Source organism: Homo sapiens, chromosome 12, assembly GCF_000001405.40.
Source record: "Homo sapiens chromosome 12, GRCh38.p14 Primary Assembly".
Taxonomy (NCBI): Eukaryota; Metazoa; Chordata; class Mammalia; order Primates; family Hominidae; genus Homo; species Homo sapiens.
In genome coordinates this window covers 71865119-71890741 of record NC_000012.12, presented here as the reverse complement: position 1 = coordinate 71890741, position 25623 = coordinate 71865119, and the positions used below count along the sequence as shown (strand labels likewise).

At 37.8% G+C, this 25623-nt stretch overlaps 1 protein-coding gene across 43 annotated transcripts in view, besides 1 other annotated feature; it reads right to left on the bottom strand.

Annotated features, from left to right (window-relative positions):
- The window catches only part of TBC1D15 (TBC1 domain family member 15), an 84555-nt gene that overhangs the window by 33572 nt on the left and 25360 nt on the right, over positions 1–25623 (bottom strand). For 28 of the 43 annotated variants that reach the window (NR_169783.1, NR_169765.1, NR_169767.1 and 25 more), the window contains 4 exons: positions 18574–18672; positions 17739–17813; positions 10135–10273; positions 5721–5931 (listed from right to left, as the gene is read on the bottom strand). Coding sequence is in view for 17 of the 43 variants with exons in the window: in XM_047429362.1 (XP_047285318.1) it covers positions 5721–5931; positions 10135–10273; positions 17739–17813; positions 18574–18672 (524 nt within the window). In the remaining 26 variants the exon portion in view is untranslated. Of the gene's footprint in view, positions 1–5720; positions 5932–10134; positions 10274–11371; positions 11423–17738; positions 17814–18573; positions 18673–25623 lie in introns of all 43 variants that reach the window. The other 15 variants (NR_169781.1, NR_169766.1, NR_169789.1 and 12 more) reach the window with 8 other exon arrangements.
- Positions 7307–7507: a silencer, noted in NCBI's record as "peak1826 fragment used in MPRA reporter construct". NCBI's record gives its function as "represses an SCP1 promoter by STARR-seq MPRAs in K562 erythroleukemia cells {active_cell/tissue: K562}" and the evidence as "EXISTENCE:reporter gene assay evidence [ECO:0000049][PMID:32103011]".

Here is a 25623-nt window from a genome sequence, read left to right as displayed (position 1 = left end):
AATATTAAGCGTCAAGATGGCCTATGTTGCACTGACTAGATCGGGTTGTTGAGACTGAAAGAAGGAACTACACATGACTAGCCTAGCAGAGCCTCTTCCTGGCGCTTGTGAGCCATCTAGGTTGCCCATTCCTAGATTACTAGCAATCTCTGCTCATCCATATGGTAAGGCCCTGCTCCTGTAAAAGGAAGGTCAGCTCTTTATGAAGACAAACTTAATTCACTAGGAAGTAGATTGGGAAGACAACATGGCCACAAATGCAAGCCACATTCCTCAATTTAACTTAATCAAAAATAAAAAAAAAGTTATCTGATCTAATTCTCTTGGTTTTGAACTCAAAAGAAGACAGGAGGGGTGACCACTGGCATCCCAATGAGGCTGAAACCAAGATTTCCTTGACTACTCTTCTTTGTGGTCTCTAAAACAATCTTTGACCATAGAAATAAGACTCTGGAAACATCGTTTTACTTAGGATAACTGCTCCAGGGACAGGAAATGAGACCCCTCGGGCTGACACCTAGTAGAATAAAAATTGGGTATAATATTTAGAAATTTTCATTTATTTGAACTTTAACTTAAAAATTTGGGAATTCCACTTATTTGAATCTTAACTAACAAGAACAAGAGCCTTTAAATTTCTCCTTAAGAATTCTGTAATTCACAATAGCAAAGGCATGAAATAAACATAAACGCCCATCAGTGGTAGGCTGGATAAAGACAATGTGGTATATATACACCATGGAATACTACGCAGCCATAAAAAGAATGAGACCATGTCCTTGGCAGCAACATGGATGAAGCTGGAGGCTATTTTCCTAAAGCAAACTAATGCAGGAACAGAAAGTCAAATACTACATGTTCTCACTTATAAGCGGGAGCTAAACAACAAACAACACATGGACACAAAGAGAGGAACAACAGACACCAGAGCCTACTTGAGGGTGGAAAGTGGGAGGAGGGAGAGGATCAGAAAAACTACCTATCAGATACTATACTTACTACCTGTGTGACAGAATTATTTGTACACCAAAACCCCGTGACATGCAGTTTACCTACATAACAAACCTGCACATATACCCCTGAACCTAAAATAAAAGTTAAAACAAAAAAGAATCTGACAGTGGGGGATGGCTTATATAAATTTGGGACTTTTTAAATACTGGTGAATATTTACTTGGAATAGCTTTATTCTACTACTTGGAATAGCTTTATTCTACTACTTGGAGTCTATAAAATCTATGGTGAGCTACATGGCATAATATATTTGGGCATAATTTGTGACAGGAAGGAGAATAGGGAGGGAGCACTTATTTTCAGCCTAGAGTATGGAGGGGCCTTGGAGATAAAATATTTGATGCACTGTTTTTACACATTTCAGACCATTCATGGGTCAAAACGTAAATTGCCCTCCCAGTGTCACAGGAGAATACACAAAGCAGTGGCTGATATTAGAAGAACAGCTTTTGAAGTAGTCACTTTAGACACTATCTCCTTCCCCAAGAAGAGCAGCCACATCCTGGTTCACTAAAAACTTAATGATTAAGCCTAATGAGAAGAGAACAAAGTGTACAAAGCTTTTTCTCTTTTACCAGATTATTAAAGGGTGCAATTAATCACTTAGGCTCACATCTCCTCCAACTCTATGCTCCCCTTAGTTGATTTCATTCTCTCTCAGAGTTTCAATCACTCCCACACATGGAAAACTTACATATTATCCTAATATACTTTTATATTGCCATATGTCTTATTCACGGCACTTATTATAGCTGCAACTTAAGGCAGGGGCCATGTCTTTTTTGATTACTGCTTTCTTTCCAGAAAATAGCACTACTGCATCTAAGACACAGTAGGCATTCAAAAAAAAATACTTGAATTAAATGAAAAAAAAAAAAAAAAAGAAACATGTATAAGGAACATTCTATGGCTTCACATTTCCAAAAGGAAATGAGCACTTCTAAAGACACTCTCCTTCCCAGGGACTTAAGTGCTGAGATTGAGAAAGAGTAGGGTGCATGCTTGGCATAATTCCTTCCAAGCTCTCTCTCTTTCCCTCTCTCTTAGATCTGCCTATCAACAGAGAAGGTGCTTTCATTCTGCTCTCATTCACATCCTCAGTGGCCTGTCCTCATTAGGAAAGCCTGTAGGTGTCAAGAAGTAACAACAGCCAGTTTAGTTCAAAACTAATCTGGGGTGAATTATTATAATGTCATATGTCTAAACCCCTCTAATAACAGTATTTTCATCACCATCTCTGATTCTTTTTTTTTTTTTTTAGGTAAAGTCTCACTCTGTCGCCTAGGCTGGATGGAGTGCAATGACATGATCTCAGCTGACTGCAACCTCTGCCTCCCAGGTTCAAGCCATATTCCTGCCTCAGCCTCCCGAGTAGCTGGGATTACAGCTGGCTTTCTTGTATCTGTAGTAGAGACGGGGTTTCACCATGTTGGCGAGGCTGGTCTCGAACTCCTGACCTCAAGTGATCCGCCCACCTCAGCCTCCCAAAGTGCTGGGATTACAGGCATAGGCCAGTGTGCCCATCCCCATCTCTGATTCTCATACTTCTCATTTGTTTACAAATTTAGAAAAGGAAACAAGCTTTCACTTGCTACTCTCACGAAACATGAACAACACACATTCAAGATACATATACCCCTATTAACTGCTTAAGTGGTTATCAAGACTATCCTTGAACCCATCCAGGATAGGAAACTCTACCTCCTGAGCTAAAACCTGTCTTCTAATTTCTTTCTGGAGTCACATAAAGCAAATCTCCAATCTGTTTCTCACAATAACCTTTCAAAAATTATTTGTCAAATTGATAATCATCATGCCATTTATTCATTCAACTAATATTTATTGCACATTTATTATGTACCAGAAACTGTAGCTAGGAACTAGGAAGAATATGGAAACAAGACAGATACAATCCCTATCCTTCAGAAGTATACATTCTAGAGTAAAACACAAAAGAATAGACCAAATTATTGTATGCTGTTAGATGCCATGAAGGAAGCAAACAAGAAAATTAGATAGTGAGGAGCAGAGATAGGAAAACTACATTAGATGGGGAAAGAGGGCATAAGCCCCTCTGAGGAAGTGACATTAAATGGAGACCTCAGGGATCAGAAAGAGAGGAAAATATTCCAAGTAGAAAAAACAGTATGCATAAAGGACCTTAAGACAAGAAAGAGTTTAGGGGGTTTTAGGAACTGAAAGAAATCTGCATGAGTAGAATGGAAAAGACAATGGCATGAGATGAGTTTTAAGAGATAAACAGAGCTAAGATAGGGCAGGCCCTTGTTGATGACAGTGAAGAAGTTTGGATTTTATTTAATGTTGCATTGAAATTTCTCTTCTTCAAGTTAAACCACATCCTTCAATGAAATATTTTTCATAGGACCATTTTGATCCCCTTCCTTACACTGGTTATCTCTTCAATACAGAATAGTATTTTCTATTCTGTAATCAAGTAAAAATAGTTGATAGTTGATCAAGTAAAAATAGTAGTTGATCAACTTGATAGTTGATCAAGTAAAAATAGTAGTCAAGTAAAAATAGTTTGCTTTGGGATTAATACAATGATCCGGTTTCAATAAGTAGAAAATAATATGATACTTACTCACAGAATACCACATATTTTTCAAGAGATTCAATCAGTAGTTTGCTATCTCTTACCTATAGAATAGGTAGTCTAGCACATTTAAAATGCAGTGTTTACTACTTGCAGTTCAAGCCTACTTCTCCAAAATATAATCAGTAAAAAGGAGAGAGGAGCTACCACCTCCCTCATCCTAGATATTATGCTTTAATCAACAGTCTCAGACCAAATGATCTCATTTGTGAGTTACATCGCAACACCGATACTGAGCTTACTATGGTGCTAAAACTCCCAACTCTTTAATGCCTGCTATTAAATAACCATAATTTTCTATTCCAATCATGATACTGTCTCTCCTGAAATCTACTCATCCTCTCAATGGTAACCTATCACAGGTTCTCACTTCGAGATCCAAGATCCACAATCCACATACCACCAAGCAGGTCTGACTTTCTTACACTTACTGGCACTGAACAGCTTGCCTGTTGCCAGCTAGAGGTGATTAACATGGCAGGGGAGAATCTCAGGCCAGAAAATACACAGTCGAGAATCTTCCAGTTTTTGTATCACTTCTAGCCTTATGTAATCTAAATTTAGGCAAGCCTTATGTAATCTAAATTTGGGCAAGGTGTTAAATTCTACTATAAAGTGAGGACATTATAAATGAAGTTAGCAGCCAGGCGCAGTGGCTCAAGCCTGTAATCCTAGCACTTCGGGAGGCCGAGGCAGGCAGATAACCTGAGGTCAGGGGTTCGAGACCAGCCTGGCCAATATGGTGAAACTCTGTCTCTACTAAAAAATACAAAAATTAGCCAACCGTGGTGGCGCACGCCTGTAATCCCAGCTGCTCAGGAGGCTAAGGTAGGAGAACTGTCTGAACCCACGAGGCAGAGGTTGCAGTGAGCCAAGATCGCACCACTGCATGGAAGGAAGGAAAGGAAGGAAGGAAGGAAGGTTAGCAATCATTCCCTGCAGTTCCCCCAAGCCCAAAACCTCAACTTCTCCCTTCTTACCTCCATATATCCAATCCATCACAAAATCTAATTCTAAAGACTCCAATACTTCCATCTTTCCTGTCACTATCCCAGTTCAGGCCACTTTAATCTCACCTGGATAACTGGAAGAACCTGCTAACATGACTTAAAAGATGCTTTGTGCTTTGGACTTTACTCAGCTCTTTGGCCTCATCTTTAACTGTATCACCCTCCCCTCCTCATACTTTGCAGACCTGTAATACTGAATTAATTTGTTGTGTGATTACATCATGTTTGTACTCTTCCCTTCATCTAAAACATCCTTCCCTCTAAGTATCTCCTTCCCGTTCCTTATAGTGGTCACTCATTTTTCAGGTCTCTACTTAGATGCTTCTTCCTCCAGGAAGTCTTCCTTGATCCCTACTCCCAGTCTGAATTAAGTGCCCCTCATTCCTTCCCAGGAACTCCCAAAGCGGCTTACACTTCTTCATCTTAGTCCTTCAGTTTTAATTGCCATTTTACTTGTTGACATCCTTCACAAGACTATGAATTCTCTAATTCCTAGGAACACCCCTGTTTTATTCACTACTAAATATCAAGCAACTACCAGTGTTGGGATGTAACAGATACCCAAAAAATATTTGCTGAGAGTAACAGTGAGGAAGCATGTGTGTGTACAGATGCACACAGTAACTAAATGAGAGACAAGATTTTTGGAAAGTGGTAAGGCCCTGTCTTCCAACTGAGAAATAATTTTATAAAGGACTTAGGACTTGCCTGACTTAAAGCTGCAACATCACAAGTAAAACTGTATATTTAATAGAAAATACATAATAAAGGGTAAATTAGGTAAACACATAGGCCATAAATTACTAATGCATCATCATTCATTTAAATGTATAAAAAATATTAAACTACCCTTTTCTTTGTAACAGTAATTAGGTGGTAAGTCTCAGATTCAAATTACTAAAATAACACAATATTATTCAGTCATTGTTCCAAAGAAATCAATATCCCAGAAAAAACTAAGCTGTTCATGTCCTCATATGCAAATAGGTCACTGATGCCCAAGGTCAAGTAAAAATAGTTTGCTTTGGGATTAATACAATGATCTGGTTTCAATAAGTAGAAAATAATATGATACTTACTCACACAATACCACATATTTTTCAAGAGATTCAATCAGTAGTTTGCTATCTCCTTGATGAAAGTGTAGAGCAGGGAGAACGACGTCATCCTTTAGACAGAATACCAAATAGGACCAGCCCATACCCTCTTTGTTTTGCTTGATTGATTTCAGGTCTGTCAAACTGAACAGGAATGACCATTTGCTTTTCCCATTTCTATGACTTGGAGCATCTTAAAAACAAGAAAGTGGGGCAAAATATTTTTGTTCACCTTTTTAAAAGGTACTGACAGTGCTCTCCATGACTGCCTAACATAAATTAGTTGAACCCAGGGAATCAGTATAGCACTTATATTATTATGGCTTCCACCTGTATTAGATATGGCTACTTATATGTTCTTTTAAAAAATGATTTTTAAAATAATTATCCTACCACATATAAATGTTTTAAATGTTATTCCTATGTAAAATACAAGCTTTGCCCAAAAAAACTGATCATGGCTTTGCAAGCAGGCAGACTGGATTCATATTGCAGCACTACCATCTTACTAACTGAATGACCTGGGACAAATAATTGAATTTCTCTGAGCCTCAGTTACTTCATTTGTAAAATGGAGATAATTATACTTACCTCCCATTGTAATTCTATTAATAAGAATTAGGAGATAATACTTTTCAACTAACTAGTGCAAGCCAAGTATACCGAAAATTCTCAGTAAATGTTTATCTGTCCCACTCCCCCCAAAATAAGAATAGCTTAATTCTCTTGAAGAGTCAAAAAACAAAACAAAAACTTTTATTCCTTCATTTCCTTTTGTAATTATTTTTAGGACACTACACTAGTAGTGAAGTAAGCATACTGATATAAAAAATAACACTGGAGTGAATATACAGACATTTTATTTGCAGAAAAACAAAGTATAGCAAGGAATTGATGAAAAGATAAAAAGTTGTGAATGCTTCAAAAATAATACATTCAATTGCTAAATTAACTGTCTACTAAATTAAGACCTCAGTTCAAACCAAATTATAGTTATGTAAAATACGGCATGTTCTGAGTTTGTGGCCTCTTTATAGAAGCGAAAATTCCAGGTTTGTGAACATTATCGTAATTGATAACAAGCAACTTAAACCTCAACAATTTAAATAAAAAACTGAAAGAGAAAAAACTATTTATTCTCACTAATGATGCTAGTTCTTATAATTCACTTCTAATCTAAAACACCATTTTAACAATTTAACTCCAACATAAGCAAGTCGTGTCTCTGAAATTTTAAAAAACCTTTCCTAAAATGTTATTTCTTAAGAAGTGTCACACTATCCTGCTACTCAAGACCTTTATTAATTCTGTCCCATACTACCAGTCCCACAAAGATAAACTACTTAGAAGGAAGTTGCTTACAAGACTAGATCAGAAGACTTATTAATCAGTGTTGACCTGCATGGATGTATCACCGTCCTATCTGCAATCATCTCTAATAAGATCTCTTGAACTCACAAAAAGAAATCTACAGCTTACAGAAACCTCTATCTGCAAGGAAACCATGCGCCATCATTATTTCATGGACACTTAAACAAGTATCATTTGAAGGAAGCTAAAGTAACTTATCTATATACAATGACCAGCAGCTTTCACACCAGTTTGGACAGTGAACTCACATGTAAGAGATACCAGATTAAGTGCCATGTGCCCACTTGACTACTTTACATAATGTTTCACTGGTATTTATATTTTAGAGCTCATAAGACCACTTCAAGCTGATATCTAAGTGAGAACAGTTCTAGAATTTCAACTTATTCATGAATCATTTAAGTATGAATGTACTTAGACTACCTAGAACAGATACATACTGCTGGCTTATCTGCAAAGACCAAAAATATTTCACAGAAAAACAGCAATGAAAAAAAAAAGAAAAAAAGAAAGAAACCCAAAAAACTACATATAGACAATTTTTTAAATTAAATTCTTCGTTGCACAGAGTATTTTATCTAAATTAATGCAAGAAAATCATATGAAGTATATTAAATACTATATGTATGCTATATGAATTATCAGGAGTTTATGCATATTCAAGAGTAAAGGTTTTACATAGATTTTTCCCTCATTAACAGAAGAGACATATATTACATACAAAAGAAAATGCCTCACACATTTCCACATTTAAAGCTGTGACGAAGAAATATTTAAATTTAAAGCCCTGACAAATATTCTAGGCCCTCCACTAGAATAAAAGCTTCATGAGAACAGGAACTTTATCTTGTTCACAGCCATATCCTCAGTGCTAGAAGAGTGGCTAGCATACAGTAAGTAGTCAAAGATGAACTATCTGTTGAATAAGTGAATTAACAACCTAGTATCAAGTCAACATAAAACTAAACTGCAAAGCATTCTGCTGCAAATAGCTAGCCAGAAATAGAAATGGTTACAAAGGAAAACGGAAATCAAGAGTGAATTCAAAATATCTTTCTACTCAAAGCAAAGGTAAAGAAAATTAATTAGTTCTAATGAATTTACTATGTTACCAAATACATGTAAAAACTATCTCCAACACACTAACATGAGAATACTAAATATAATAGCAGAAGAACTGAACAAACAACTCTACTCTTCTTGTAAGAGCAGAACAGTTCAGTAAGTCTCTATATGCCTTAAATAGAATTAACATCAAGGACAAATTTTATTTGGATGGATCTCTAGAACAAACATGAGACAGTCTGATGTTCTTGGAAGGAATATTTCCAAAACATTTAACTTGTCTGGTATATAATAACAAAGGATGTAGCAGTAGAAACTCTTATGAAATATAAAGCAAAATGCTCTTAAGAAATATAATTAAATAAGTCTGATAGTCAATTTTTAAAGGTTTGTCCCAAATTGGCTTTGTGCCTCACACAAAAAAGAAAAAAGTACAAAGTTAAAAATGAGAAGGGTAAAAGGTAAGAAAAACAAAAGCTTTTTCTTTGGGGGGAAAAAAACTTTTAGAAAATAAGAAAGTTTCGTAATGAAATACATTTAAAACCTCTGGAATTTCTAAGCTTGAGGGTTCAAAATAAACCCTCAAGCTTAGAAATGAACCCACGGGCTTAGAAAATGCCTCCTTAACTTTTTTTTTTTTTTTTTTTTTTTGAGACGGAGTCTTGCTGTGTTGCCAGGCTGCAGTGCAGTGGCACAATCTCGGCTCACTGCAACCTCTGCCTCCCAGGCTCAAGCGATTCCCCTGCCTCGGCTTCCCCAGTAGCTGGGACTTACAGGCATGCGCCACCACGCCCGGCTAATTTTTTTGTGTTTTAGTAGAGACAGGGTTTCACCATTTTGGCCATGGTGATCTCGATCTCCTGACCTCGTGATCCGCCTGCCTTGGCCTCCCAAAGTGTTGGGATTACAGGAGTGAGCCACCGCGCCCGGCCTTTAACTTTTAATAACTACAAAATAAAGTCTGTGGTCAAGCCATAAGCAGGATTACATCTGTCGTTTTTTGCTAAGCTACACAGCTACACAGAAGTTCTCAACTCTGACCACATATTAAAGTCATCTGAAGACCTTCTAAAATGCACAGATGCCCAGGCTATATCTCCAGAGTCTGATTTTGGGTAGTATTTTTTAAAAATCTAACCTACCCAGGTGATTTCAATGTGCAGCCAAGGCTGAGAACCACTAATAAAGTGATCTTTATTGTCAGATTATGCTTTTCTCATTCATGTAAAGCTTCTTTCTTTTATGAAATTCTGGGCTACAAACCTATATAGCAATATTACTATACTGAATACCACAGGCAACTGTAACACAATGCTAAGTATTTGTGTATCTAAACACGTCTAAATGTAGAAAAGGTGATGCACTGCACTGTGACCGTACAAAGACTATGATGTCGCTACGTGACAGGAAATTTTCAGCTCCATTATAATCTTATGGGCTTATGGGACCACTGACATATAGGCGATCAGTCATTGAAATGCTGTTATGTGGCACATGATGGTATATATGTAGAAAGGAGAATAGTCACTCAACACATATTAAGGGAAAACTGCAATGAGCCATGAAGAGTCCAGCAAGATGCTGAAATTAGAATGGTATGATTTAGTGGTATACTCCATCTCCCTCTGTTACTTTAGGATAAAATAACATGATTATTATAATTCTACTAAATTAAGAAAAATGTGCATGAAGGACAGCCAAAGGAATGTTTTAAAGTGGTTCTACTTTCTGCCATTAATAACTATAAAATAGAGCAAGTATTTTAAAATATTTTTTTGAAGCCACAACCAATAAAACAGAGATGAAAAGGGAATATAACTAAAATATGAGATTTATACCTATTAACCAAAGAAATTAATCATCCTTCTCACTGAGGAGCATTCACGAATCTTCTTTGCATTTTTGTTTATTAGTATACTGTAGCAAATCAGTTTAAGATTTCAAAAGATTTAATTCATACCTCCATTGGTATGTGGTTTCCTTTTAAATGAAACTGTATTAACCATGTCCCATTCTGCTTCGTAACTGTTCAGATGTTCTGATCCTCGATGACCTCTTTCTTTTGGGGCCTGAGTCCATTCTACAACTGAACTGGAGTCCTAAAATAATTATAACATATAAAATATTTAAAGTCTAAAACAAATTTAATTTCAATCCATATCATCTTAGCTTCAATGTTTGTAGGCAGGCTGCAGACGACATCACTGGTGGGAAAACTGAACACCATTTCCTATACTTTTCTCTCTTGATCATCTTTATGAAAAAAAAAAAAAAAAGGAAGAGAAGCTTGACTAGACTCCCCTGCAGTCAGAGTTGCCAATGAAATATAAGCAGAAGTCAACTCTGAAAATGGCTTTGCTTTCATAATAAAAGCCTCATCCTTTTTTTCCTTTTTCCTGCTTTGAATGTAACCATGCTGCCTAAAAATAAAATAAAAAGCAAGAGAACCACTGCAAAAAGCTCCCAACCTCCAAACTTTTAGTTATTTAAAGAAAAGAGCCCAATGGTGGCTATTTAAGCCATCAATGGTTGTATAATTTCTTACAGGCAATCAAAATTAGCTAAAAGCAACATATTCACAGGTATAGTTCTATAGAATTTTCCATCTTTAAAGATAATAAAACCAAAAGTCTAAAATGCAATATGGTTTGAGTAAATCAAAAATTTAATTTCTATACAACAAAAGACACCATATATTAGCTAAAGATAGCACAACTACAACATCTTTCTAAAATATATGACAAAAGAAAAATGTCCAGATTACAAAACAACTCCTATTAATTTATTTAGAAATAGACAAATATCAAAACAGAAAAACAGGCAAATGGTATGAATAGGCAAGTCAAAGAAGAAGAAATATAATGTAATAAACATAGAAAGATGTCCAACTTCAGTAACAATGAAAAGCAAGTTGACAGATTTCTATTTTTTGCCCCATTCAATTAAAAAAGATAATATCAAATATGGAAGACAACGTGAGGAAATGGACCATCTCACACTGCTGATGACAGTGCTCATTACTACTGACACAGGAGGACAAACTAGGTCTTTCTAAACACATACATACATAAAAATAAAATGCATACAGGTAAAAGTCTGGAAAGATATACATTAAACAGAGACAGGTAAGGGAGGCCGAGCGAGGTGGCTCACACCTGTAATCCCAACACTTTGGGAGACCGAAGCGGGTGGATCACCTGAGGTCAGGAGTTTCAGACCAGCCTGGCCAACATGGTAAAACTCCGTCTCTACAAAAAATACAAAAAAGTTAGCCAGACATGGTGGTACATTCCTGTAATCCCAGCTACTCGAGAGGCTGAGGCAGGAGAATAGCTTGAACCCAGGAGTCAGAGGTTGCAGTGAGCCAAGATTGAGCCATTGCACTCCAGCCTAGGTGACAAGAGCGAAACTGCGTCTCCAAAAAAAAAAAAAGAGAGAGAGAGAGACAGGTAAGGGAAAAGACTCTAGTCAAGCAGGGCTTCAACTTTCTATTACTTGAACTTTTGCAACAGGATTGTATTCATGTGTCAATAGTATAATTCTTTTTTAAAAGAGAAAAGGAAAATTAGTAAGAATGAAAAGAAACTATAAAGGCACAAGAAAAATTAAGATGTAAGAAATAGAAACAGACTGAAAAACAGTAGGGAAACTGAACAAATGAAATTATCAAATAGATTGTTTTTTCTTCCAGTTCCTTCCTCAAATGTCATTTCTTGTTTGACTAGTTTTTTTTTTTTTAAATCAACCCTCAGGCCAGGTGCAGTAGCTCATGCCTGTAATCCCAGCACTTTGGGAGGCCAAGGCAGGTGGATCACTTGAGGTCAGGAGTTTGAGACAAGCCTGGACAACATGGCAAAACCCCCGTCTCTACTAAAAATACAAAAATTAGCCGGGAGTGGTGGGGGGTGCCTGTAATCCCAGCTACTTGGGAGGCTGGAGCACCAGAATCGCTTGAACTCGGGAGGCGGAGATTGCAGTGAGCCGAAATCGCACCACTGCACTCCAGCCTGGATGAAAGAGAGAGACTCCTCCAAAAAAAAAAACAAAAACCCTCACCACCATCCCTATTAACCCTAACCCTATCGTCAGTAGTGAGGAAAGCTAAGAAGCATCTACAAGAGTACTCTGTTCCCCACCTCTCTCTCTCTCTCTCTCTGACTTCTACTTCCCCCTACCAACTCTGCATACAAAAAGGCTCAAATTGGTAGGTCATGCCAATAATCAGGGAAATAAGGATTAAAGGTCAACCTGAAGACAGGACAACTAAGTCCAAAAGGCTGGAGTTTTGGAAAACATCATTTATCTCTAAATTAGGAAAAATCAAACACAATGAGCAAAGGAATAATATACTGAAATCAGGAGAATTAACTGAAAGTCAACCTATACAAAGAAGTTGGCAAGACTCCCAGCCCTTTTTCTCCACTCATTTGCCAGAATACTGCCATCCAAGCTTACCATTTCCAGGCAGGAATCTGCAGATTCTTGTCAAATCTACTAGCCCAAAAAGACGTGAACTTTGACATTAGGGATTCTCCAAGGAAACAGCTTAGCCATGCACCCCAGGAAGAGTCTCACTATTACCAGGCCTAACCATACCTACAGAGAATATAATCACTGTTGTGCATCTGCTCTTAAATTTGTTAAATATGAGCCCCACACTACATAAGCAACAAACATCAAAGACAAGTTATCTACAGAAAACAGAGTTCAAATGAAATGAGGTGGGGGCAGAGCAAAAGGTCACTAGAGGGAAATGGACTACATAGGGAGATGAAAAACATCTAAGAAGCTATCCTTAAACTCCTCAGTAATAAGAAAATATATTACAACCACAAAGAACAGAATGCTAATGCTATTCCTTTAAAAGGGGACACGAGGACACTCAGAACAAGAAAGATGTCTTAGTAATGAAATTATAGCAAAAAATGAAAAAGGCAATAGAAAAGTGAATTTCCTAGAAAATAGTACAGACCAATAAATAAATACGAAAGAAAGAAAAAGAAGAAAGGAAGGAAGGAAGGAAGGAAGGAAGGAAGGAAGGAAGGAAGGAAGGAAGGAAGGAAGGAAGGAAAAACAGGAAAGAAAAGATTTTAAAATTACAGGACCAGTCCAGAAATTGTAGAGCTCCAGAAAGAAAGAAAACAGAAAATGGGGAAGAAATCATCACTAAAATAAATCAAAAATATTTCCCAGAATTAAAAAAAAAAGACAGAAGTTTCCATATTAAAAGAGCTCATCAAGTACCCAGCACAATGTATTAAAAAAACAAATCCACAAAGGCACATAACCAGAACATAAAACTAGAAACAAAAAGACAATAATTAAAAGCTTCTAGAGAGGTTTAAAAAAAAAAAAAACACACACACACACACACATAACATGGGATCAGGAATTAGAATGCATTAGACTTAACATCAATAAAGGAAAGTAGAAAACCTGAGGCAAAACTTCAAAAACAGCCAGGCACAGTGGCTCACGTCTGTAATTCCAGCACTTTGGGAGGCTGAGGTGGACAGATCACTTGAGGTCAGGGATTCGAGACCAGCCTGGCCAACATGGTGAAACCTTGCCTCTACTAAAAATACAAAAACTAGTCGGGTGTGGTGGCGCACACCTGTAGTCCCAGCTACTCCGGAGGCTGAGGCAAGAGAATCACCTGAATCCAGGAGGCAGAGGTTGCAGTGAATGGAGATCCTGCCACTGCACTCCAGCCTGGGAGACAGAGAGAGACTCTGTCTCAAAAAAAACAAAACAAAAAAACTTCAAAAAAAAAAAAAAAATCCACGGGAAAATTTACTTTCAAACTGTAATTCTTGGCCTGCCAGGCCAATTCAGAATAAAGCCAAGTCTTTAAAAACAAAAACAAAACAAAACAAAAAAAAGAAATGTTTTTGTTCCCATGCACTCTTTTTCTCAGGAAGCCCTGGAGCTGCACCAAAACAAGGAATAAATCAAAACAGAGGTTGGCATGGGATACAAAAAACAGAGGGATTAAAATATGGAAAAGAGGCAAAAAAGAACCCCCAGGAAAGCTGCTGCACTGCAAACTAAAAGAGCAATCAGTCCAGGATAAGCTTGTGAGAAGGCTCTGGGATAAGAGTATCTAAGAAAATGAAATTAGAAGACAATCTATGTGTTTAAATATTCTGAGAAGAAATGTAGACAACTGAGCAAGAGTTTCAAGGTGATTCACAGATAAAACAGAGCTAAATCCCCACCTTCCACAGTGAGGAGTCAACACACATATGTAAATTGGAAAAAAAAATAGCAGTGTTAGAAGAATGTTATTTAGACACAGGGCTGTAACTAATCAAAAAAACAGCTACAAGGTTTATAATTGCCTTGGGAGATGGAAAATTTGGTGGAAAAGTGAGATACCTCTGTTTTCCATAATAAAACTTCTAAAACCCAGAATTTATGTAGGAAAATGTATAATTTGAATTAGAATGAATTTTATAAATAATAAAATCTTTAGGGCTAGGTGTAGTGTCTCACGCCTGTAATCCCTGCACTTTGGGAGGCCAAGGCAGGCAGATCACGAGGTCAGGAGATCGAGACCAGCAATATGGTGAAACCCCGTCTCTCCTAAAAATGCAAAAAATTAGCCAGGTGTGGTGACGTGCGCGCCTGTAGTCCCAGCTACTCGAGAGGCTGAGGCAGAAAAATCGCTTGAACCCAGGAGGTGGAGATTTCAGTGAGCCGAGATCATGCCACGGTACTCCAGCCTGGGTGACAGAGTGAGACTCTGCTTCAAAAATAAATAAATAAATAAAAATAAAATCTTTAATAAAAAATTATGAGAAAATATTGAACAGACACATGAAAAGCACAAAAACATAACAGAATTAGAAGTACAACCATTTAATAAAAAAATCTGTTCAAATGATTCCTTATCTTACATCATACACAAAAATTAACTCAAAATGGACCATACATGAGAAATTACTTAATGGGTATAATGTACATTACTCAGGTGATGGAGACTTGATGTGGAAGCGAGGAGAAGGTAGGGAAAGGGAGGAAGAAAGAAAAAAAAAATCACCAATCTAAATATAAGAGCTAAAACTATAAAACTCAGAAGAACAGCAGTACATCTTCATAATCCTGAGTTAGGTACTGGTTTCCTGGATATGACACGCCAAAAGCACAGGCAACAAAAGAAAAAAAATAGATAAACTTGACTTCATGAAAATTAAAACCGTTTGTGCTTCAAAGCATACCAAAAAGAAAGTGAAAAAACAGTCCACCATACGGGAAAAAATGTCCGCAAATTACACATCTGATGAGAAATTTATATCCAGAATATATAAAGAATTCTTACAACTCAACAATAAAAAGACAAGTAACTACCCTGTAATGCCAGCACTTTGGGAGGCCAAGGCGGGCAGACTGCTTGAGCTCAGGAGTTTGAGACCAGCCTAGCCAACATGCTGAAACCCTGTCTCTACAAAAAATACAAAAATTAGCCGGGCATGGTGGCATGCGCCTGTAGTTCCAGCTATTTGGGAGGCTGAGGTGGATGGATCGCTTGGGCCAGGAGGCGGAGGTTGCAGTGAGCCGAGATCACACCATGCACTCCAGCCTGGGCGACAGAGCAAGACCTTGTCTCAAAAATAAAAGAAAAGACATATAACTACATGGGCAAGGACAGGCACGGTGGCTCAAGCCTGTAATCTCAGCACTTTGGGAGGCAGAGGCGGGCAGATCACCTCAGGTCAGGAGTTCGAGACTAGCCTGGCCAACATGGTGAAACTCCATCTCTACTAAAAATACAAAACTTAGCTGGGCATGGTGGCAGGAACCTGTAATCCCAGCTACTTGGAAGGCTGAGGCATGAGAATTGTTTGAACCTGGGAGGTAGAGGTTGCAATGAGCTGAGATCGCACCACTGCACTCCAGCCTGGGCGACAGAGCAAGACTCCGTCTCAAAAAAAAAAAAAAAAAAATAGTAAATATAAATAAATAAATGGGCAAAAGATTTAGAACAGGCATTTCTCCAAAGAAGATACAGTTGGCCCTCCATAGCCATGGGTTCTGTATCTGTGGATTCAAACCTGGAATCTAAAATATTCAGGAAAAAAAATTCCACAAACTTCCAAAAGGTAAAACTCGAATTTGCTGTGCACCAAGTACTATGCTACATCAAATAGAACCAATACCCCACAGATACCAAAAGACAGTGTATACACCACATGGCCAATAATCCCATGAAAAGATGTTCAACAACATTAGTCATTAGGAAAACATAAATTAAAACCACAACGACATACAACTTCAGTTATGGTTTGAATTGTGCCGCCCCCTCCCAAAAAGATAAATTAACATCCTAACTCCCATTACCTCAGAACGTGACTCGATTTGTTAGGCTGGTGCAAAAGTAATTGCGGTGTTTGCCATTAAAGCAATGTCAAAGACCTCAATTACCTTTGCACCAACCTAATGGAAATAGGGTCTTAACACAAGTAATCAAGTTAAAATGAGATTATCAGGATGGGCCCTAATCCAATATGACTAATGTCCTTATAAAAAGGGGATTAACAGACAGATAGACATGAACAAATGGAAGATGATGTGAAAACACACAGAGGACACCATCTACAAACCAAGGAATGTCTGAGGCTACTAGAAATTAGCAGACAGGCAACAGATTCTCCCTAACAGCCCTCAGAAGAAACCAATCCTGCTAATACCTTGATTGCTGACTTCTAGTCTCCAGAACTGAGAGACAATAAATTAAGACTGTTCTAAGCCACCCAGTTTGTGATGATTTGTTTACAGTAGCCCTAGGAAACAAATAGAACTTCATATCCACTAGGTTTACTAAAATTAAAAAGATAATAACAAGTGTTGATGAGGATGTAGACAAATTGGAATCCTCATATACTGCTGGATTAGAAAATGATGCAGCTGCTCTGAAAAAGTGTGGCAGTTCCCCCAAATGTTAAACACACAATTATAAAACCCAGTAATTCTACTCCTAGGTATATACTCAAGAGAAATAAAAACATGTTCACACAAAAAACCTGCACATGAATGCTCACAGCAGCATTATATATATTAGCCCCAAAGTGAAAACAACCCAAATGTCCATCAATTGATGAATAAAACTGTGATATATACACTATTAGACAAAACAATGGTATACACAATATTATTCATCAAAAACAAAAGGACCATACATGCTATGTAACACAGATGAACCTTGAAAACCTTATGCAAAGTGAACGAAGCCAGTCACAAAAAAAAACACTACATTATTACATGACTCCATTTATACGAAATGTCTAGAACAGGCAAATCCTTAGAGACAGAAAGTAGATTAGTGATTGCCAGTGACTGAAAGTAGGTGAAATGAGGGGTTAACTGCTGACAGAGTTCTGGAGGGTGATGAAAATGTTCTAAAATTAGATACTGGTGGATGGCTGCACAACTCTGTAAATATGCTAAAAACCACTGAATTGTATGCTTTAAAAGGATGCATTTTATGGTATGTGAATTATATATGGATAATACTGTTATTTTTTAAATGGCATTCCCTTAGTAACACATTTTTTTCTTAAATACCTTTCTAGCATAGAGAATACTAGAGGAATCTAATGCATCATCCAATGGTCTCCAGTCCACTATTACTTCGGCATCCTAGAGAAAGAAATTATGAACTATATTTAATATTCAGCAATATGTTATTCTTAATTATTTTATTCCCTGAACCCAAAATAAAATTTCAGCCTCTTAAATATCTACATTTTAAATATGCTAACATCATATGTAAATCAAAAATGTTACATAGATTTTTCAAATTCTGCCTACTTTTCATCATGAAAAATTTATATTGCTACAACTTCTACGTAAGTTTTAGAATATTCCATGTCATTTTATCTAAAGTACAGACGGTCCCTGACTCATGATGGTTTGACTCAGGATTTTTTTGTAATAGGATGGTGTAAAAGCAATGCACATGCAGTAGAAATCATACTTCAGGTAACCACAGAAACACTGTTTTTCACTTTCAGCACAGTATTCAATTCATTACATGAGATAATCAACACTTGATTATAAAACAGGCTTTATGTTAGATAATTTTGCCCAACTGTAGGCTAATGTAAGTGTTCTAAGCACGTTTAAGGAAATTAAGCTATGATGTCCAGTAAGTTAGGTGTATTAAATGCATTTTTGATAAACAATATCTTCAATTTATGATGGGTTTATCAAGACATAACCCCATCATAAGTCAAGGAGCGTGTGTTTGACTATTACATCATTTCGGTGTTAAATTTACAATTACTGTTCAATTACATAATTGTATCTTACACATGAAATTCAAACTTTCTGATAATTCTCCAAAGATGAATCACTACCATAAACTATTATTAAATAAAATCATTTACTAGAAACTTACCTTTTCTAAAACACGTAATATTCCTGAAATCAAGCCGTCTTGGTCATTGGTCTTTCCACAAGATGAGTGAATATATACTCCTTCTTGTTCATATATAATCTAAAACAGCAAAAATAAAGTTAGTCACATAATTTCTATTGAGTACTATTTTAACATGTTAAAATATTAAGATATATTTTCTTATCATACTTGGCCAAGTTTCTGATTATTTCATATATAAATGTATTATTTAAAAAAATACCTCTCAGAGTTAACAGCACTTCAATCAAGCAAACATAAACTGGAATTAATTCTGCTTTGTTAATGCATGAAAGTTTATCAGATTCGTGATAATCACAATCTTGATCTTCTACTTAAACAAAGATGTCAGACTAATTGCAACAAGTCTCAATATTTAAATTCCACCTAAAATTTATATTTTTTGCCAGATGCAGTGGCACATGCCAGTAGTCCCAACTACCTGGGAGGCTGGGCTTGAGCCCAGGAGTTCAAGGTTGTAGGGTGCTATGACTGCACCTGTTAATAGCCACTGCACTCCAGCCTGGACAATACTGCAAGAACTCATCTCTATAAAAAATCAAAAAAATAAGTATTTTTTTTTCATGAGCATTAAGGAAAATACTGAGCTCGAATTGAAAATGCACTTGAAAATATCTAAGAATAAGAACAAATGAAACACAATGAGGAATCAATCCTTTCTAACTATTCCCATAATAGCACATTTTTACTGTAAGATCATTTTGGCGTGTTTTTGAAACACCATGGCATAGAAATTCGGGAAATAATACAGGAATTTTAAAGAGCAGTGATGAGAACAAAAATAAACAGAGTAGTGATGGAGACTCCTAGAAATGACTCACTAACTCAATTTCACAATATTAACTGAGTGCTTCTATATGTAAAAAGCACATAAAAGACCAAAAGTACATGAAGATGATAAAGACATAATCCTTGAATAAATTCCTATGGGAATATAGGGGAGACTTAAGTTAACTCCTAAGTAAGTTTAAACATTTAAGGTTAAGCCTCATTTTTCATAGACATAATGTTATAAATTGAGATTCCATTCTTGAGACCCATTTCAAACCATTTAAAAATTTTTTTAATTATGAAAATAAGTAAAAAACAGTCACTTCTAGACCTAAGAACTTTTCACATATATAAGTCTGGTCAATAGTGTATATTATTCTATTTCTGTAGACCTTTTATTAATATTAGTCTTCAGAATATCATGGGTCAGCAATGCAAGACAAGCACTATCAGAGTCTATCACTCCTTCATTCATAAATGTAAATAGGTATGTATCTTCCTGTTTTTAGCTAACATTTACGGAACACTTATACACTAGGAACTCCTTATATTGTAACTTAATCCTTACAACCACCCTAAATCACAGATTATATAACTACATTCTACTACATCATTGGGATGAGAAGCCCATTTGTGTGAATAAGACAACTGAAAGTGGTGAAATAACTGCCCAAATGAGGCAAATAATAACCGGTGGTGATGAAACTGAAACCCAAGGAGTCTGACAACAGAAAACTGCGCTCTTAGCCACTACATTATAAAGGTTCCACATTACTTTTACTGCCTCTCTCGGATGTGTTATGTTAATCAACTGTGATATGGACTTATGTCAGGAAACAGTCTTTTAAGTAATTAAGATCACCAAGGAAGTTTTGATTTCAAAAACCTAAGTAAGATGGCCTTTCCTGAAATAGCTGTTAAGCATCAGACCAGCATATAAACAGAAGCTTACATGGGGATAGGATGAGCTGAGAAAGGGTGGGAGATAATTCTATACTGTTTGTACAGAGATGAAAAATTTTAAAGCCTACAGATAAATGTACAAAAATATGCATAAGAATATTCACAGCAGTATTATTTATAATGTTAGAGGAAGGAGAAGGAGGAGAAGGGGAGGAGGAAAGGGAGGGTATGCATCTAAATATTCACAAATAGGAAAATTATCAAATATATCCTGGGATATCCATTCTTTGGGGGATACTATTCTGGAGTTATAGGATGAGGCAGATTAAATGGATGGGGAAACAGACAATGCACACAGAAAAATCATCATGTATATATAGTATGCTGACATTTACACTTTTATGAAGTTTCTATCTGTGTGAAATATACAGAACAAATTCTGGGAGGATACTTTAAGGTATTAACAAAGACTACTTCAGGAGAGTAGGATGAGAAAAGGTTGAAACAGGAACTGTTAACTTTCTATGTTAATGCCTCTGACTTATTTGAATATTTCAAAGCGAAAATATAGTCATATATTTAAAAATAATTTTAAAGAGTAACATGAAAAAAGGAAAGTCCAGAAGTATAAACTAAATTTTCTAGACTTCAGTTTATCAAACAGGAGGGTGAACCAGATGCTCATACCTAGGAACACAAAAAAAGATATGAAAAATGGAAAAGAAATCCCTTAAAATCTCCACCTTCTGCAATACAATTTTATTAACTTTAGTCTGCATGTTGTACATTAGATCTCTAGACTTGTTCAGCATATGTATCTATTTTCTATCCTTTGACCTACATCTCTCCATTTCCTAGCAACCCTGACTAGTGGTAACCACTGTTTAATTCTCTGTACTTGAGTTTTGTTTTGTTTTGTTTTGTTTTGTTTTTGAGACACAGTTTTGCTCTGTTGCCCAGGCTGGAGTGCAGTGGCACAATTTCAGCTCACTGCAACCTCTGCCTCCCAGGTTCAAGTGATTCTCCTGCCTCAGCCTCCCGAGTAGCTGGGATTACAAGCATGCACCACCATGCCCGACTAATTTTTCTGTTTTTAGTAGAGATGGGGTTTCACCACGTTGGCCACGCTGGTCTCAAACTCCTGACCTCAGGTGACCTGCCCACCTTGGCCTCTCAAAGTGCTGGGATTACAGGCATGAGCCACAGCACCCAGCCCTGAGTTGTTTTTTTAATTATACATATTCCACATATAGGTGAAATCCCACAATTATTTTTCCTTCCGTATCTGCTTATTTCACATAGCATAATGCTATCCTCCAGTTAAATAAGTAGATTTTAGCTGCTGTTGTCACAAAAAAGTAACTATGTGAGATGACAAATATGTTCATCTAATTCACTACAGTAACCATTTTACTATCTGTATGTATCCCATAATATGTTGTAAACCTCAAATGTACATAATAAAATTTATTTTAAAAAAGATATTGAGAAAAAATATTCTCAAGTTTTTGTGACAAATGGATCAGAGACATACTCAGAAATAACACTTCAGCATATTTTCACGTAAGACTCAGCTAGTAGAATAGTCGGGAACTTCCTAACTCTCATAGTGGAAAAAGAGACACTCATTTGGCAAGAAAAGCTTGCTATCATTAACAATGCAATCTAAGGTTCTATGATACCATTAACACTAAAGAGATTCTAGAACTTTAACAAGGTGAACCCTATACAATCAAATAAAACACTTTACCTTATTTAGGCACATTAAGCAACTCTTCCTCTTACATTTGTTGGTTAAGTGTTGCCTATTTTTTTTCACTTAAGAAAAAGTTGAAAGAGTTTCCTAAGTAGTTTAGCTGGGGAAATAATAAGAATTAAAGTGACAGACACCTTACAAAAAAGTCAAAGCTGGCCGGGCACAGTGGCTCACACCTGTAATCCCAGCACTTTGGGAGGCCGAGGTGGGTGGATCACGAGGTCAGGAGATCGAGACCGTCCTGGCTAACACGGTGAAACCTCGTCTCTACTAAAAAATAGAAAAAATTATCCGGGCATGGTGGCGGGTGCCTGTAGTCCCAGCTACTCGGGAGGCTGAGGCAGGAGAATGGAGTGAACCCAGGATGCAGAGCTTGCGGTGAGCCGAGATCGTGCTACCGCACTCAAGCCTGGGAGACAGAGCGAGACTCCGTCTCGAGAAAAAAAAAAAAAAAAAAAAGTCAAAGCTGCACTCATTCTGTATTCTGTGTTCCTCAACTCTTCAGCCCTTTTTGAGGAACAAATTATACATCCCAAAACTCCTAATTCCAAACCACATTTATACTGTCTTCAGAAAGAAGTCATGTTTAGCTTTCTAATTTTGAAGGGTGTGATGTTAACTGATACAAAGTAACACTTCTGTCAGAAATGGCAAATAAAATTAATAAATTTATTAATTTGTAATAGCTACTAAATCTTACAAAGTCTTATATTTTATAAGACTTAAGGGCACAGGAAAAAAATAGTTGCATTGGTACATAATTTACTTCCAATATAAAATCACTTAGTGATAATTGTTTTAACTTAAATATAGGTTGAGCATCCTTAATCCAAAAATCTTAAATCTGAAATGCTCCAAAATTTGTGCACCAGCTTCAAGCTCAAAGGAAATGGACCTTGGAACACTTCCTTGGCTGGGTACGGTGGCTCACGCCTGTAATCCCAGCACTTTGGAAGGCCAAAATGAGAGGACTGCTTGAGCCCAGGAGTTCCAGACCAGCCTGGGCAACAAAGTAAGATCCTGTCTCTAAAGAATAAATAAATGATTTTTTGTTTTTAATGAACACTTTGTGGATTTCAGGTATTTGGAGTGGGGATCCTCCACCAGTATACTGCAAATATTCCAAAATTCAGAACACTTTTGGGTCCCCAGTTTTGAATAAGGGATAATCAACCTGTAGCACCTTGTTTCCAAAGTACCCTGATCTCACTTAAATCCTCACAGCCACCCTGAATAAGTCAAAACCAGTATTGTTATCTACATCTCTATTTTATGAAAAGAATAAATTGAGGAAAGAACTGCCAGGAAATCTGTAATCCAGTCTTTCCTTGGATAAATATGTGGTCTTCAGTAAAGTCACCAATCACAGATTTCCTGACACATTCATCCATTAAATCATAACTGTTATTGCCTAAAGAAACTACCAGAAAATTTCCACATGGCTTCCCTAGAGGACAACAGTTCCTGAAATGGCTTAAATGCAGAAAACAATGCTGCTTCAGAACTAAAAACCAATTTTTAAATGTCTACATTTATAAACCAATGCAGGAGCATTTGGCCTTTAAACAAAAACCCTTACTCTCATCTGAACTCCTAAATATTCTACACAAGAAGCTTAACCCTTTTCATATCATCTTGGTTTAGATCATTCATTGAATATTGTAGTCCTTCAATCTATTTTTTAAGGGTGTGATCTTATGTTTTATTCATATGACATATCTGTTCATCACCCTAATGTCTAAGCACATGTGTTTATTAAAATACAAAAATCACAACTCTCAAATACCAACTATTTTAAATAGCCCAAAATACAAAAACAGAAGTCCAGAGACTGGTGTCAGCAAGATGGTCGTCTAGAAGGCCCTAGGGCTCATCTCTCCCCAACCCGCAACAAGCAACCAAAACAATGAACAAACAACTACATTTTAACAAAAATAACTGAGGAGACAGGCCAGGCACAGTGGCTCATGCCTGTAATCCCAGCACTTTGAGAGGTCGAGGCAGGAGGACTGGTTGAGCCTAGGAGTTCATAACTAGCCTGGGCAACATAAGCAAGACTCTGTCTCTAAAAATAAAAATAATAACTGAGGGAGAGCACTAGAGTGCATCATAGGAATAACAGAAACCCTTGTGAGCACACAGAAACTCAGGATGGCCACATAGAGAAACAAGGAAATATTGGGATCCCATCACTCCATCCCAGAGCTGAGATCATCTGGGAACCAGGAGGAACTTCTTCCTAAAGCAAGGATGTAAACAAGAGAATACCAGCAGCCTCCACCAACAACTTAGACACCTACAGACTTCACCAGTCCCTGCAGTCCTCACAGGCACTAACCCCAGCTGAGGGAGCTGCCTCGAGTCTAAATAGCTGTGCTCCCCCAAGAGAGGAGAAGATACCGCATCTGTCCTTGTGGCCCAAAAGACTACTCCACTATGCCATCTTGGAACTGGAACTGTGGCAGAATGTGTATTGCTCTAGGGGCAAGTAGCCACAGATTCCCTTCATCACTGAGACTAAGCAACCACCGAACCACCCCAGCCCACTGGCCCATCCCCAAGCCAGCTGTGAAAAGTTGGTACACCCTTCCCTGTGGGGCCAAGTGGAAACAGAGTCAGTCCACGTACACTTGCCCTCACCCCCTCAGGCCAGAGCTAGAAGTGGCATCTTGCCTTCTGGGAAAACAGGACTTTGGCCACTCAGAGCAGTCCCATATCCCCAGTTCCCAAGTTGAAACAGTGCCTTGGCCACCCAGAGCAGTAACACACCCCAGTACCCAAGCTGAAGTGGCACCTTCCGTCCCAGGGAAATGTGCCTGAGCTGCACAGAACAGTCACACCCCACCAGGCCAAAGCTGAAAGGGCATATCACTCCCTGGGAAACTGGTGCCCTGCCTGAGCTGAGCAGCTACACATCCCCAGGCTGAGCTGACACAGTACCCCATATCCGAGAGAAACACAGCCATGCTGAGCTAGATAGCCCACACTACAGGCCAAACAACTCTAGTACCTTGCTTCCCTGGAGCTGGATTAGCACTCCAGAGTCTAAGCTGCTGAGATACTCCTCTCCCTGGGGAATAAAGTCATCACTGTGCTATTCCCTACCCCCTCTCCTGGGGCCCAAACCACAGCTGTGTTCTGCCATTCTGAGGTACTTGCTGCTACTGCACCTCGACTCACAGAGTCTGGATACTGCCAAGCCCCACCATCCCAAGGTCTTGAGTCACTACTACCCAGGACCTCATCCCCTGAGATCCACGTTACCACTGAACCCTACTGGCTCAGATTCCTGAACTGTAGCCACACCCTGCTCCCCAGGCCCAAACCTTCAAAGTACCCCTTCTTCCCAGGAGTCAGGCCAGTGTTGTGCCCTGCCCTCCAGTTAAGAGAATCACAGCTACAACCCAGCCCCCTGGGCCCAAGCTGCTAGAGAGTGACTCAGTGTCATACATCCTGGCTCTGTGGGCAACCTACATCCAACACAGCCAGAGCAGGCAAACCTGCATCCCAAGACCCAGATGACAAAATAGGTTTATAAGATGCTGAGCCTGGACATGGAAACCCACAGCTGCTCCAAGCAC